The sequence below is a fragment of the Homo sapiens genome, chromosome X (genome assembly GCF_000001405.40).
Source record: "Homo sapiens chromosome X, GRCh38.p14 Primary Assembly".
In the NCBI taxonomy this organism is placed as follows: Eukaryota; Metazoa; Chordata; class Mammalia; order Primates; family Hominidae; genus Homo; species Homo sapiens.
Window position 1 is genome coordinate 39,438,337 of NC_000023.11, and position 13,725 is coordinate 39,452,061.

The 13,725-nt window shown below is 46.7% G+C and overlaps 2 annotated features.

Annotated features, from left to right (window-relative positions):
* Positions 1,937-2,216: an enhancer, noted in NCBI's record as "active region_29525". NCBI's record gives its function as "activates an Ori minimal core promoter by ATAC-STARR-seq in GM12878 lymphoblastoid cells {active_cell/tissue: GM12878}" and the evidence as "EXISTENCE:reporter gene assay evidence [ECO:0000049][PMID:35858748]".
* Positions 2,307-2,356: an enhancer, noted in NCBI's record as "active region_29526". NCBI's record gives its function as "activates an Ori minimal core promoter by ATAC-STARR-seq in GM12878 lymphoblastoid cells {active_cell/tissue: GM12878}" and the evidence as "EXISTENCE:reporter gene assay evidence [ECO:0000049][PMID:35858748]".

Sequence of the window (13,725 nt, forward strand, 5' to 3'; positions counted from 1 at the left end):
TAAATGGATGTACATTAGTGCCAGCAAGCCCCTACCCCAGAACTGAACACGTTCCTAAGAGCCAGTGTGCATGCTTGTGCAGGTGGCCTGCTGACTCCAGCCTGGCCGAGCCGGGAGGACAGACATTATTTGCAAAATATGTAAAAAGCTTCAAGAGAATCATTCTACTCCAGACCACTAGAGTAGGGCAAGCACTGAGGACTGGTGGCCAACAGGGATGTCTGAAGTACCGACATAAACACCCCCAAAAAGCCAAAGGTAAAATTACTTTGCTAGATGGAGAAGTACAAATTTGGATTTCAAGATGGTTTTAATTCCGGGCTCTGGGAGTTTTGGGGACTGAGTTGAGTGAAAGAGAGAGAGAAATGATTTAGAACCACAGAGTTTTTATGGGCGGTGGGGTCTCTTTCAGCCTGAGCAGACAGATTGAGAAATCTGTAAACAACCAAGGAGCAAGCCCAGAGATAGAGAGCATGGTCTAACAGGCAGAGGGATAATAGCACTCAAGTCAAGGGAGGCCCTGAGCCACAAGAAAATGATTCAGGGCATAACAGACTGAGCCTGGGTGCTTTATATCTGAACAAAAGCATTCCACGTACATGCAAAAGTGACTTCCGAAAAAGAACAGGTTTTTCTAACTGGCCCTTCTAGCCTATAAATTTTGTTTCAACTTTGGCCTCTGGGGCAACCCAAAGTCAAACACCCTTTCTTGTATAAGGCTACCCATGCCACTATCTGCTGCCCAGGGCATGCTTCAGACCTTTATCTTGAAGCCACATTGCCCTGTAAGAGCCCATCTTAGAAAGGCAGTGGGGGGCATTCAATATTAAGCAGAATATTGATGATTCTTGGCTGCCAACTGTCTGAAAGTGTGTTTTCTGTCAGCTCCAGCCAGTGTGTCATTCTGAAAAAGCAAAGAACGCCGAGGGCAGTGACTTCATGACCTTAGGCCATGGATGCTGGAAGAAATGCAGAGGTGGGCAGATAAATTTATCATCCTTAATGGGCTACCTAATTCCTTGGGGAAAAAATGAAGGAGCCACCAGTGACATGCCCCAGGCAGCAGATGGCAGCGTGGGCAGCCTTTTACAAGGGAGGGTGTCTGAGTTTGGGTTGCCCCAGAAGCCGACCCCAAAACAAAGAAATGAATGCAAATAGTTTATTTGAGAAATGCAAGAAACACTGGTAGCGGAGTAGGAAAATGAGACAGGTAACGAAAGGGAGCCAGTCAAAGGTGCATTATCAAGTTGGCTGGCACGGTGGGCAACTGGAGTTTAATCCCACTGGGGAAACTAGGAACTAGAGAGACCAGTGCTTCTCAAGCTGTCTGGGGAAAGTACCAGGTTGTCTGCTGTTGTTATCAATCCATTATAAGTGGATACTTTTGTAAAAATACAATTAAAATGTCACAGCAATGTCAAATTGCTATAAACGTTCGTAAACGCCAACTTTCCATTTGTGTATGTACCTTGAAATGTACAAGCAATAAACATTTCACAGCTTGTCAAGGGCCTGGAGACCACACTTCAAGTAGCACTGGTGGAGAACGCACAACCTTATCCAAGTTATCTCATTCATGGAGCTGGGCTGTTTATACACTAGCTTGCAATAGTCATGTAATTCTTTCATGTGCACGGGCAGTGTGGTGGTCCACAGTTTCTAGAAAGCCATCAGGCAAAGAGACACACACACTGGCAGTTAGGAGTCAGCCTGAACAGGCTGAGGGAACAGGGCGGGGCACCGACAGCATATAGAGGCGCCCACCCTGTCGGTGTCCTTATCTTGCCCCTGTTAGCAACACTCTAGGACTTAAGATGAGGGCAAGGCAGAGGCCAGATGAGTGTATCCTGAAAGCTGGGAGATCTGGAGCCCAAATTCAGGACTTCCCTATGGCTAGTTGTAAAAGGAGGGGGAATATTGGGTGGATTCTACTTTAGCTGCCTGGCCTAGCATCAGAATTCAGCTCTTATAAAAACAGCTAAGCCACTGTTAAAAGAAAACCAAAACCAAAACCATCCCAGCACCCGGTCAGCATTGATAACAAACACAGAGGGGCTTTTTTGCCTGACCGCAGTGCAGGTTGTTGTTTGGTTTGCTCCTGCCTGGAGCTTGTGCTTCACAGGCTTCTTTTGCAGGCTTGTTTTCCAGGGGACCTGGCAGCTATTTCTGACTGTGCGATAAACTCATGGCCTGCAAGATGGAGGCAGGAGGTGACTGCAGTCTCGGTGAAGGGGATTAAGGGATTGAAAAGTTTATCTGGGCTGCCCAGCAGCCCTCGGGAAGACAGACCAGCCTGGTCTCTCTACAGTCACCATCACTAGGGCTGACTGCCATTTTCAGGGCTCAAGAGAAGATGGGGATAAGAGTAATATTAAAATAATGACGATATCTGGAATGGACACCTTCAGACTCCACCTGGGCAGTGACTTTGGGCTGGGTCCTTTACATGCACTATTTCATGGTCCCAGGAACAGTTCTGAGGAGTGTGTTACAGTGACTAGAAGTGACATCACCCATGTCACACTGCTTGGGTCTGGATGCCAGATCTCCCATCTCAGAGCTGAGTGATTTAATGTGCTTCAGTTTCCTCATCTGAGGTTCTACCTCTCTCCTTGAGTTGTTGCTGTATTAAATGTGCTAATCTCTGTGACATGCTTAGAGTAAGGTGAGGCATGGAGTTAGTATCCAGCACTCATGCAGTCCTCAGTCCCAGGCCCTGTGGGGAAGTGACCAGTAGCAGGTTGGCTGGGCCCCCTGCTGCTGAAACACAATTTTACTGCTGTCATGCTGATGGTAGCCAAAGAAAGGAATGTGATTAAGACTTTCCATTTTCTGCTGTTGGCACTCTGTACTGCTACTCCTTCTAAGGCTACCTGGGAAATGTATGACTACAGCCTTGAAGGCCACTAGGGTTTTCACCTCAGGGAACAGACCCCTGGGTTGTGGTCATTTCCTTAACCTCCTTGAGTGATGTTTCTCCCCGACTGTCCTCACATGCAGTTAGCTGTATAGGGTGCCCAAGAGGATGATGGGGTGCAAACCACTCCCAGATTAGGTATGATAAAGGTTAAAAGGCTCACAAATCTGCCTTATCCAGTCCAGAATGACACAAAATCCAGGACTTTGTAATCATTTCCAGTTTCCTAATTAGTTCACCCTTCTTTCCAGCCATGATTCAGGTTGCCAGAGAAAATACAAGATGCCCAGGTAAATTTGGATTTCCAATAAACAATGATTTTTTAGTATAAATATGCCCAAACAACAATTTTTAGTGTAAGTATGCCCCCAATATTGCACAGAACTTACACTAAAAATGTATCTGTTGTTTATCTAAAATTCACATGTAAATGGGAGTCCTGTATTTATTTGTACATCTGGCAGCCCTTGTCCAAGGTCGCAGAAGCATCTCTCAGTATCATCAGAAAAACCTGGTGTCCCCTTCTGCATCAGGTTAGGTATCTCATAAAGGACTTAGATGCAGGTGGTTTGACTGGGAGGTGATCCCAGGAAGCACAGCAAGGAATCAGGGAAGTGAGGCAGGGAAGTGAGGGAAGCAAATAAAAGAGGTGTTAATGAGGACATTACCCCTGTGGGCAGCTGGGGCTCAATCCCTCCAGAGAATCTTCCAGAAACCCAGTGCAACATGCCTTAGAATTGTCCCGTCTGGGGACAGGGAGACTGGGTATTTACCTACTGTATTAGTCCATCAGGCTGCCATAACAAATACCAAAGAAATGGATGGGTTGAAAAACAGGTGTTTATTTCTCACAGTTCTGGGAGCTAGAAGTCCAAGAACAAGATGCCACAGATTCGGTTGTTAGTGAGAGCTCTCTTCCTGGCTTGCAGACAGCTGCAATCTCGCTGTGTCCTCACATGACAGAAAGAGAGAGAACTCTGTCTCATTTCTTCCTCTTCGTATAGGGATATTAGTACCATCATGGGGACCCCCATTCCCATGACCTCATCTAAATCTAATCATCTCTCAAAGACCCCACCTCCAAATACTATCACACTGGAGGTTAAGGCTTTGACATATAAATTTCAGAGGGACACAAACATTCAATCCACAACATCTACCAACTCTCATCCCCCATGTTTCAGGGTTGCCCTGGGGACATTAACTCCCCCTGTACCTCTGAGTTGCACTTGTGCTCAACTGAGCATGTCCAGGGCAGAGAAGCAGGGAGATGTGGTCACTGGAGCTGAAAGGCTGTTAGGGGACTGGAAACCATGAACCACAACTGGAGGTAAGCAGCCCAGCATCTGAGCCCAGAGAATCAACTGTGGGCCATCTAGAACACCTGCTTCATTTTCCTTCACCTCAGGCTGACCCCTCAATCATAGGAGGATAGAAGGGCTTGCCCAGTTGGCCTCCCACAGTTATTGCCAAGATCGGATGAGATTGTGTGAAAGAGTGTTACAAACTACAAGGCACTACAGAAATTGAAGGTAGAGTAAGCATTATTTAGTTAAGAAAGAAAAGGAGAAGAGGAAGCGAGGAGATGTGAGGAAAGGAAGAGAGGATGAAGGACGAGAAAGAAGAAGAGGAAGGGAGGAAGAAAGGAGGAAGAAAGGAAGGAAAGAGAAAGGAAAGGAGAGAAAAATACACTGGTCACTAACAGCATAGATTATGACCCAAGAAAATTAATGTTATGTACTCAACAAATTGTTATCAGGCACATCACTGTTCCAGGCCTTCTTCTAGGTATTAAAAATTCAGTTGTGAACCAACTGCCCCAATTTCTTGCCCTCACGGAGCCTACATTCTAGTGGGGGAGTAAAATATATAGCAAGGTTGTAAAGAGCTATGAATAGCAACAAATCAAGGAAGGTTGCTAGGGAGGGTTGAAGAGAGTAATAGGGTTGCAGCCTTTAATAGGTCTGGAAAGGTGTCACTAGAAGGTGACTTTGGGGTCAAGCCCTGAAGAAGAAGAAGGAGGAAAGGGCCAGGGCAAAGGCCCTCAGATAGATGTGTGCCTAGCCTGTTGGGGGAAGGGCAAGGAAGCAGTCATGACTAAGGCAGGGGGACAATGGGGAGGGTGGTAGGAAATGAAGTCACAGGGGCAATGGGGGAAGGGGAGATTGGGTAGGGCCATGTGTGCCACTGTGATGACTGGCTTTCCTTCGGATGAGCTGGGGGCCATTGGAAGGTAGTGAGCTGTGGAGGGACACGGTCTGACTCATGTTCTACAAGGAGCATTTTAAGCCCAGAATGGTGGCTTGTGCTTGTAGTCACAGCTTCTCTAGAGGCTGAGGCAGGAGGATCACTTGAGGCCAAGGTTCAAGACCAGCCTGGGCAACAAAAGTAAGACCCCTGTCTCTGAAAAAAATATATAATAATAAGGGAGCACTTTAGCTGTCGTGTTAAGAACAAGCTGTTAGGGCAGTCACTCAAGAGGCTGCCTCAGTGATCCAGGCTTGAGAGGGTGAGGCGGGACTAGAGAGGGTGGCAAGTGGCGAGGTTCTGCATCTCTGTTTTAAAGTGCTGCCAGTGGGATTTACTGCAAGAATGGGCAAAAGGAAAAACTGAAGGATGAATGTAAGGTTTTGGACCTGAGCGACTGGAAGAATGGAGCTGCCAAAACTGAGACTCCAAAGACCAGGAAGAATGGGCTCAAGCAAGGAGATAATGGGAACTTGGCTGAGTCTGAGATGCTATTTGGTGTGGAGGTGAAATGCTGAGTAGCAATCGGGAAGGCATGCACTGTGGATAGGAACCAGGGAGTTCTGAGTGCATAGATACCATTCAACACCACATGACTGAATGGGGCCACTTTAGGGGAGGGAATAGAGGGAGATGAGAAAAAGACATGCCCAGGAGTCCTGGGACACTGTGAGTGTGAGAGGTCGAGGAGGTGAAAAGCAAATGAGACAAGGAGGCTGGGAAGGTGTGGCCAAAGGGATGAGCAAAACCAAGACAGGATGATGTTCTGGGAGCCAGGTAAAGAATGGTGTGGCTTCAATAGCAAAGACTTGGAACCAACCCAAATGTCCATCAATGATAGGCTGGATTAAGAAAATGTGGCACATGGCTGGGTGTGATAGCTCTCGCCTGTAATCCCAGCACTTTGGGAGGCCGAGGAAGGCAGATCACGAGGTCAGGAGATCGAGACCATGCTGGCTAACACGGTGAAACCCCATCTCTACTAAAAATACAAAAAATTAGTTGAGCGTGGTGGCGGGCACCTGTAGTCCCAGCTAATCGGGAGGCTGAGGCAGGAGAATGGCATGAACCCAGGAGGCAGAGCTTGCAGTGAGCTGAGATTGTGCCACTGCACTCCAGTCTGGGCAACAGAGCAAGACTCCATCTCAAAAAAAAAAAAAAAAAGAAAAGAAAATGTGGCACATATATACCATGGAATACTATGCAGCCATAAAAAAGGATGAGTTCATGTCCTTTATAGGGACATGGATGAAGCTGGAAACCATCATTCTGAGCAAACTATCTCAAGGACAGAAAACCAAACACTGCATGTTCTCACTCATAGGTGGGAATTGAACAATGAGAACACATGGACACAGGGTGGGGAACATCACACACCTGGGCCTGCTGGGGGATGAGGGGAGTGGGGAGGGATAGCATTAGGAGATATACCTAATGTAAATGACGAGTTAACGGGTGCAGCACACCAACATGGCACATGTATACATATGTAACAAACCTGCACGTTGTGCATATGTACCCTAGAACATAAAGGAAAAAAAAAGAATGATAGAGAAAAAAGAAAAAAAAAAGAATGATGTGGCTTTAGAATTAAGGCATTGTGGGCTACAGGGATAACACCACCACAAAATTTCCCCTAACAATAACAACAAAAATCCTTCCAGGGAGGGTGAAGTCCTCGGGGGTCTTTCCACCTGGCTCAGTGCTTCCCTTGCCTCCCCTTATAGACAAAGCTGCACTTAGCCCCCCAGTTGCCTGCTCCCTGTTTCTTGGAACATCCTTCTGCTTGAGCTCCTGTCCTTGTCTAGACCTGGCTTCTGTGCTCCCCTCTTGTATCATACATATCTCCTGGCATCTGGCCGGGTCCTCATCCAAACATCCGCAGAGCCCCAGAATGCATATGCATGTCCCAACTCCACTCCGGTTCCCACCCAGCCTCCAGTTCTCGATCTACCAGCCACCCCTCTCAAACCAGCACCTGCCCAGATTTGTACCTGCACCCTGCCTCAAATCACCAGTCTGTGCTCCACAGCACCCCCTTCTGGCACAAGACTTGTTTGTAATTTGTCCACTTTTGGCCAACAGTTTCCATCCATGTATATAGCAAGCACCATTCTTCTGGAAGCTTTTAAGCAAGCACACCTTCTTTTCTCACACTTGGCTAACCTCAAAGAAACCTAAGATTAAAAAAACCTGGTATGCAGAGCCCACTTGATTGTGGAGAGGCACAGACACACACACACATACATACACACACACATACATACACACACACACACACCCCATCACCACCACCATCACCACCATCATCTTTTGCAACCACATCCATTGCTAAGCCACTCGGTGGCCAATAGCAATTGGGAATCATGACTGAAGAGGCCAAAATTGCACATCTCTTTTCTTCTTCCCACTCTTGCAGCAAGGGCCCTTAAAAACCGATTAGAACATCCTCCCTTCGTACCGAGTAAATAAATGCTGGCCTCTGAGGAGAGAGTGGGGAAGGGAGGCTGTGAGGCGTTGGGTGGGTTTTTCCCTCGCCACAGCAACCTCTTCACTCATCGGAGGCTGGCTCAGAGATTTTAGAGGGAGGCAGCGCCGTAACTCATGAGATTAAAACATGCCCACTTCTCCTCAGACATGTATTCTATATGAAAATGTGGTTTATGGGCAACAGGTCCACAAATCTAAAGCCCAAGCAATTCTACCTATGACCATCAGTCATGGAAGTTACACTCACGGGGAATGAAAATTTACACGACCACTGTTAGCCCATAACCAGCGACAGAGCGTCCTCCCCTGCGAGGAGCCAGGTCTCCCTGACAACAACTATCCGCCCCGTTTTTACTGGCTGGTACCCAGTCTAGTGGCAATGACTCTCAAATGTGAGTATTTATCATGAGATCCTCTCAAGGCCCATCTCCTCTCGTCTGCAGAGAGGAAAATATATTAGGAATCAGGAAAAAAGGGGTCGATTTCCATCTCTTCCCCTTACCGCCCATGCAAACCTCAGCCGTTCATCCTCTCCATCTCAGTTTCCGCCTCTGCTGTCCTGAGAACCTCAAGTGTAACAGTTGTTATAAGGATGATCTTAATTCAGCATAGCACAGTTGGAAAGCTCTTAGGCTCCAGAGTCAGACTACCTTTCAAATTCTGACTCTATCTCTCACTGTGCAACTTTGGGCAAGTTACTTAACTTCTCTGTCTGGATTTCCTCCTCTGTAAAAGGAGATAATAACAATACCTTCCTCATTGTAGTATTTCCTATTATGAGAATTAAAAGAGTTAATATTTGTATAGGGCTTAGAACAGGGCCTGGCAAGTGGAAAATGCTAAATAAGTGTCACATCAAATTCATTCACTCAACCAACATTTATTGAACACTGTATTAGTTTCCCAGGACTGCTGTAGCAAAGTAGCATGCACTGGTGACTTACAACAACTAAAATGTTTTGTCTTACGGTTCTGGAGGCTGGAAATCTGAGATCAAGGTGTTGCTAGGGTTGGTTTCTTCTGAAGGCTGTGAGGAGAATCTGTTCCCTGCCTCTCACCCAGCTTCTGGTGGTCATTGGTGATCTTTGGTGTTTCTTAGTTCATAGAAGCATCACCCAGATCTCTGCCTTCATGTTCATATGGTGTTCTCCCTGTGTGCATGCCTCTGTGTCCAAATTTCCCCTGTTGTAAGGACACTGGTCATATTGGATTAGGGCCCACCCTAATGACCTCATCTGAACACGATGACATCTGCAAATACCCTATTTCCAAACAACATCCCATTCTGAGGCACTGGGAGTTGGGACTTCAGCACACCTTCTCTGGGAGGACACAATTCAACCCATAACAAATACCCACTAAGGATCAAGTATTCTGCAGGGCACTGAGAATACAAACATTAATAAAACATGGTCCTAGCCCTAAGGAGTTCACATTTGAATGTGGAAAACAGATTTTCATGCATTAACTCATTAAGTATTGTATCAGGGAAATATACAAATACAAGGACAAAAGGAACAGGAGTGGTGGCACCGGAAGAAAGATTTCAGTATGTGTGTGCTGGGCCTTCAAGGGTGAGCTGTATTGACATTCTCCAAAGGAAAACACACAATCAGAGATGCAGGAGTCTGAAAGCACATGGCATTTTCTGGGAACTCGAGTTCTTGATATGGCTATAGTGTCAGATGAGACTCATGAAAGATAAATCCAGAAACATTGTTAAGATCAGATTCCAAAAGGCCTTGTCTTCCAGGTTAAGGAGGTTTCACTTTATCCTATAAGTACTTGTCTTAGGTCAAGATCCCCAGAAGCAGAAAAGGATTCCTGTGAAAATGATTTATTAGGAAGTATTACCTTGAAATGCCAAGAAAGAAGTAGGGAAGGGTCAAAAGCCAAGCCAACAGACTGTACTAAGCAAAGTCTCATGGAGGGCAACTTCTGCTCAATCCTACAAGGGTACTCTGGAGACACTATAGGTCATATCTCAGAGTTGTCTAGATTGGAAGAGGAGGTGGGAGGACTTATAGCCTCTCACCCAGTAATCACTGGTTCAGAGCAGCCCCCAGGCACTTTGAGCTGCCCACAGTAGCCCACAATGCAAGTGGCATGGCTCTGGCAGCCTGAGGGAAGTCCCTCAACAGAGAGACACTGGCTTCCAGGAGTGGAGGCACACTGGGAGCCAATGTCCATAAAAATAGCAAAAAGACTGCAGAGTGAGACAAGAGCCTCTGCTACTGTTGCAGAGTCATTAAAATGTTTTAATGAAGGAATTAAGTGATCTGATCTCTATGTCAGAAATCTAACTGATAATGGTGTTAAAAATGGAATGGCAAGAAAACAGGCTGGTTGCAAGGAGAGCACTTAGGAAGCCATGACAATGGTCCAAGCCTACTGGGGACCCTAAAAAAGGTGAGGGGAAGGAGGAGAGGGGCATCAGAGAGATATTTATGGCTAGGACTTGATGACTGTTGGCTCTGAGGGAGAGATAACTAGCTTCTGTGTCTAAAAAGATAACGGATATAACACAGGTTTACTGAAGAAGTGGGGAAGATGGTTTGGGATATGTCAAATGCCTACAGCATACCCAGCTGGCAGAAATACGGGCCTCGACATCAGGAGAGAAGCTACAGTGGGAGCTATAAATTCAGAAGACTTTGGTGTGGAGGTGGTAGATGACAATAGGAACCAGAAAGAAAGGGTGGAGTCAGAAAAAAAGATCAAAAAGGAACACTAGAGAATGTCAACCGTTGAGAGATGAGTGAGGGAAAGAGATGGAGAAAGAGCCATAGACAGGTTCAGGACTAGGAGAGGTGTGTAAGCAAGAGGCAAAGGAGGACACTGCAAGAAAAAAAAAGTGGTCAATGGCATTTGATGATGCACAGATGTCAAAAGAGGGTCAGGAATGAGCAAAAGTCATTAGTTTTGACTATTACGAAAGCATTTGTGACCTTCACAGGAACCGTGATAGAGGAGAAAACCACACTGTTATAGGCTGAAAAGGAAATAAAAGAAATTGAGGTAACAATATATTACCATGCTACCAAAAGCAGGGTCCACAGACCAGCAGTAGCTATTGGTATCATATGGGAAGCTCGTTAGAAACACAAATTCTCAAGCCTCACCTCAGATCTACTGAATTAGAAATTCTGAGGCCGAAATCCAGGAATCTGTTTTTAACAAGGCCTACAGGTGATTCTGATGAATGCTAAAGTTTGAGAACCACTGATATATACAACTTTAAAGAAGTTTGACTGTGAACAGAAAACAATGTGACAGCTACTTACAGAGGAGGCAGTGCCCAGTTCAGATGGAAAATTGGTCAATACTTCACAAATAGAAGGAGGTATTGGAAAAGCATACAGGTAGCCACTGGTTTTGTAATTAACAAGAATAGACGATCTATAGGTAATCCATGAGCAAACTGCAAAACAGGTGCCCAGGGGAAATGTGACATTTGTTTCTTTTGGAGCACAAAGTTGTCATCTGGATCATAATTTTCACCTAGATCTCTCACAGCATTTTACAGAGTAGTGACTGATTATGACTACGTGTAAATGTAAAACCAACCATCAAACAGGTCATGAGAAACCACTGAACCTCTGTGTCTTTAGAGGCAGATAAGTTGAGAGTCTAAAGTGGGTGTGTTGTGTCAAATCTTGCCATAGAATCCAAACTTCTAATTCCTAATGTCCAGCTTCATCCTAGTTTTCTATTGCTGTGACACCAGACACCCCAAACCTAATGGCATAAAACTGCTACAATCAGTTATCATTTTCTCCTATGGTTCTGGGATTGGCTGGGCTCAGCTAGGCGACTCTCCCTGTGGTTTCAGGCAGACAGTGGCTGATACTGGAATCATATCAAAAGCATAATCATTTGCATGTCTGGCTGTGGATGCTGGCTGTTAACTGGGACTTGTTGGGGGCTGTTGTCAGGAATCTCTCCACACATCTCTATATCGTCTGGGCTTCCTCACAGCAAGGCAACTGGGCTCCAGAGATCATGTCCTGAGAGAGAGAGTGATCTAGGCAAAAGTTGCATTGCCTTTTCTGACCTAGCCTTGGAAGTCACGGAACATCACTTCTGCTGTACTCCATTCGTAGAGGCAGCCATAAGTCCTGCCCTGGTCCAAAAGGAGGGGACACAGACTCCATATTTGCATGGGAGTGAGACCATTTTCCAGAGGAGCATATAGGACAGAAACTATTGTTTCAGCTGTTTGTGCAAAATACAATCTGCCACAGGAAATAAATCCTCAGTGGTCAGCCCAGTTATGACCTTGCTCACTCTGGCAGGTAAGCTCTAGTCCATCTCTAATTACCCATGACCAGGCTGATTTGTCATTCCTGTGACCTTCCTTCAGAGGAGAGGCAAATCCTCAGAAGAACTCCGTGGCCAGAATACTGCCCTGGGTCCAGGGCAACTCTGAAACCACCCCTCACCATGACAGTCCCTTCCTCCCCAACGAGTGAAGCATGGGAAGGGTGTGGTTGCTGGAGGGACAAAAGGAATTGATCAACAGCCGGAATTACATCACCCCCTCTCTTTGTTCATTTTTCATTAATGTTGTTCTTTTTCCTGTGTTAAATTTCTCTCCTTCCTTACTCTCCCCTAGGACCTCCCCCTTAGAGATGGGGTTGGGGGGTTTGATTGATTGGTGCTGAAAGCAGGGAGGTTGCAAGTAGAGAGAGATCACCTTACCCCGGAGATAGTTTCCATGGCAACAGGGACAGGTCGGTGGGAGGGGCGGGCAGATAAGGGCCCCACTTTGGGGTTCAGTGCGCGGTGGAGGTGAAGGCTGCAGTGTTTACAGTAGAGAGACAGAAAACCAGCCTGTGCAGCTGGGTTAGGAAGTGGAAACATTCTTCGAGGCAGCTTTGAGGCTGGCCTTCGCTGACCTCTCACCCTCCACTCTCCCCTCCTCCATGATGCAGCAACCTCAGCACAGCTTCTGCCTGCCGGCCTGCCACCCTTCATCCTGACTAGTAGCCCTTCTGGTCATTATTTCCTCTAGGAAAAGCTCTCATCTTCCTCCTTCTCCTCCTCCTTCCTCCCTCTGCTTCCCCTTCTCTAGCTCAATCTTGACTTCTAACCCAGAGAATCAGCAAGCCAACTTCTCATCCCTCCAGGTCAAGGTGAGGGAGCCAGCCCAGCTCCCTGCTTCAGCCCGGGTGGGGGTGTCTCCAGGCCAACCCTCCCACTTCTCCACAACAGCTTTCACCTGGCATCATGCCTCGGGGGCCACAGGTCACCACGAAAGAATCCCCAGGGAATCACTGAAGACCATTAATTAGCCCAGAATACACAGGAGGCCCCTGAGCAGTGACCACCCAGGCATCAAACACTTTCCTGTGTGCCCGCCCACGCCTAGCCCTTCAACGTGACCAGACCCGGCATGTTCAGAGCAAGGGGTTGCTCAGCTGAGGGGTTCCTCCTGAAAGCAGAGAGGTATTTTCATCCTTTTGCTTTGGAGTGACTCCTGCTTTCCCAAGGATGGATCCAGAAATTGATTCTCTCTCCTTTCCCCCCACCACCTTCCCTCCCCTATCCCTTAAGTCACTGCTGCTATGGCCCCACACTTGAGAGCCACAACATACTTCGGTGCTCTCCGCTAGTTTTGTTGTTGTTGTTTTCACTGATTTTCTTAAGTGTCAGGGAGCGACAGAAATCTTTGGGGCTGGCTCATCCCAAAGCAAATGCTCCTCCAGTTCCCTTAAGGAGGATGCAGAGAGGGGAATGGGACTGTGGGGGACCTGGGCCTCAACAGGCAAACCCTCCAACTCACCCCTGGACTGGGGGCCCTCAAGGGCAGGATCTAGGTGTTGTTTCTTGCTAGATCTTAAAGGACTCTTCAGTGCTTACACATGAGGGGACTTAAAAACATATGTTGACCATCAGCAAGTTCAACACAGAATTGCCATATGATCCTCTAATTCCTCTCCTACATACACGTCCTCAAAGAATTGAAAGCAGGGATGCAAACAGATACGTGTACATGGATGTTCATAGCAGCATTATTCACAAGAGTCAAAAGGTGGAAACAACCCAGGTGTCCATCAATGGATGAATGG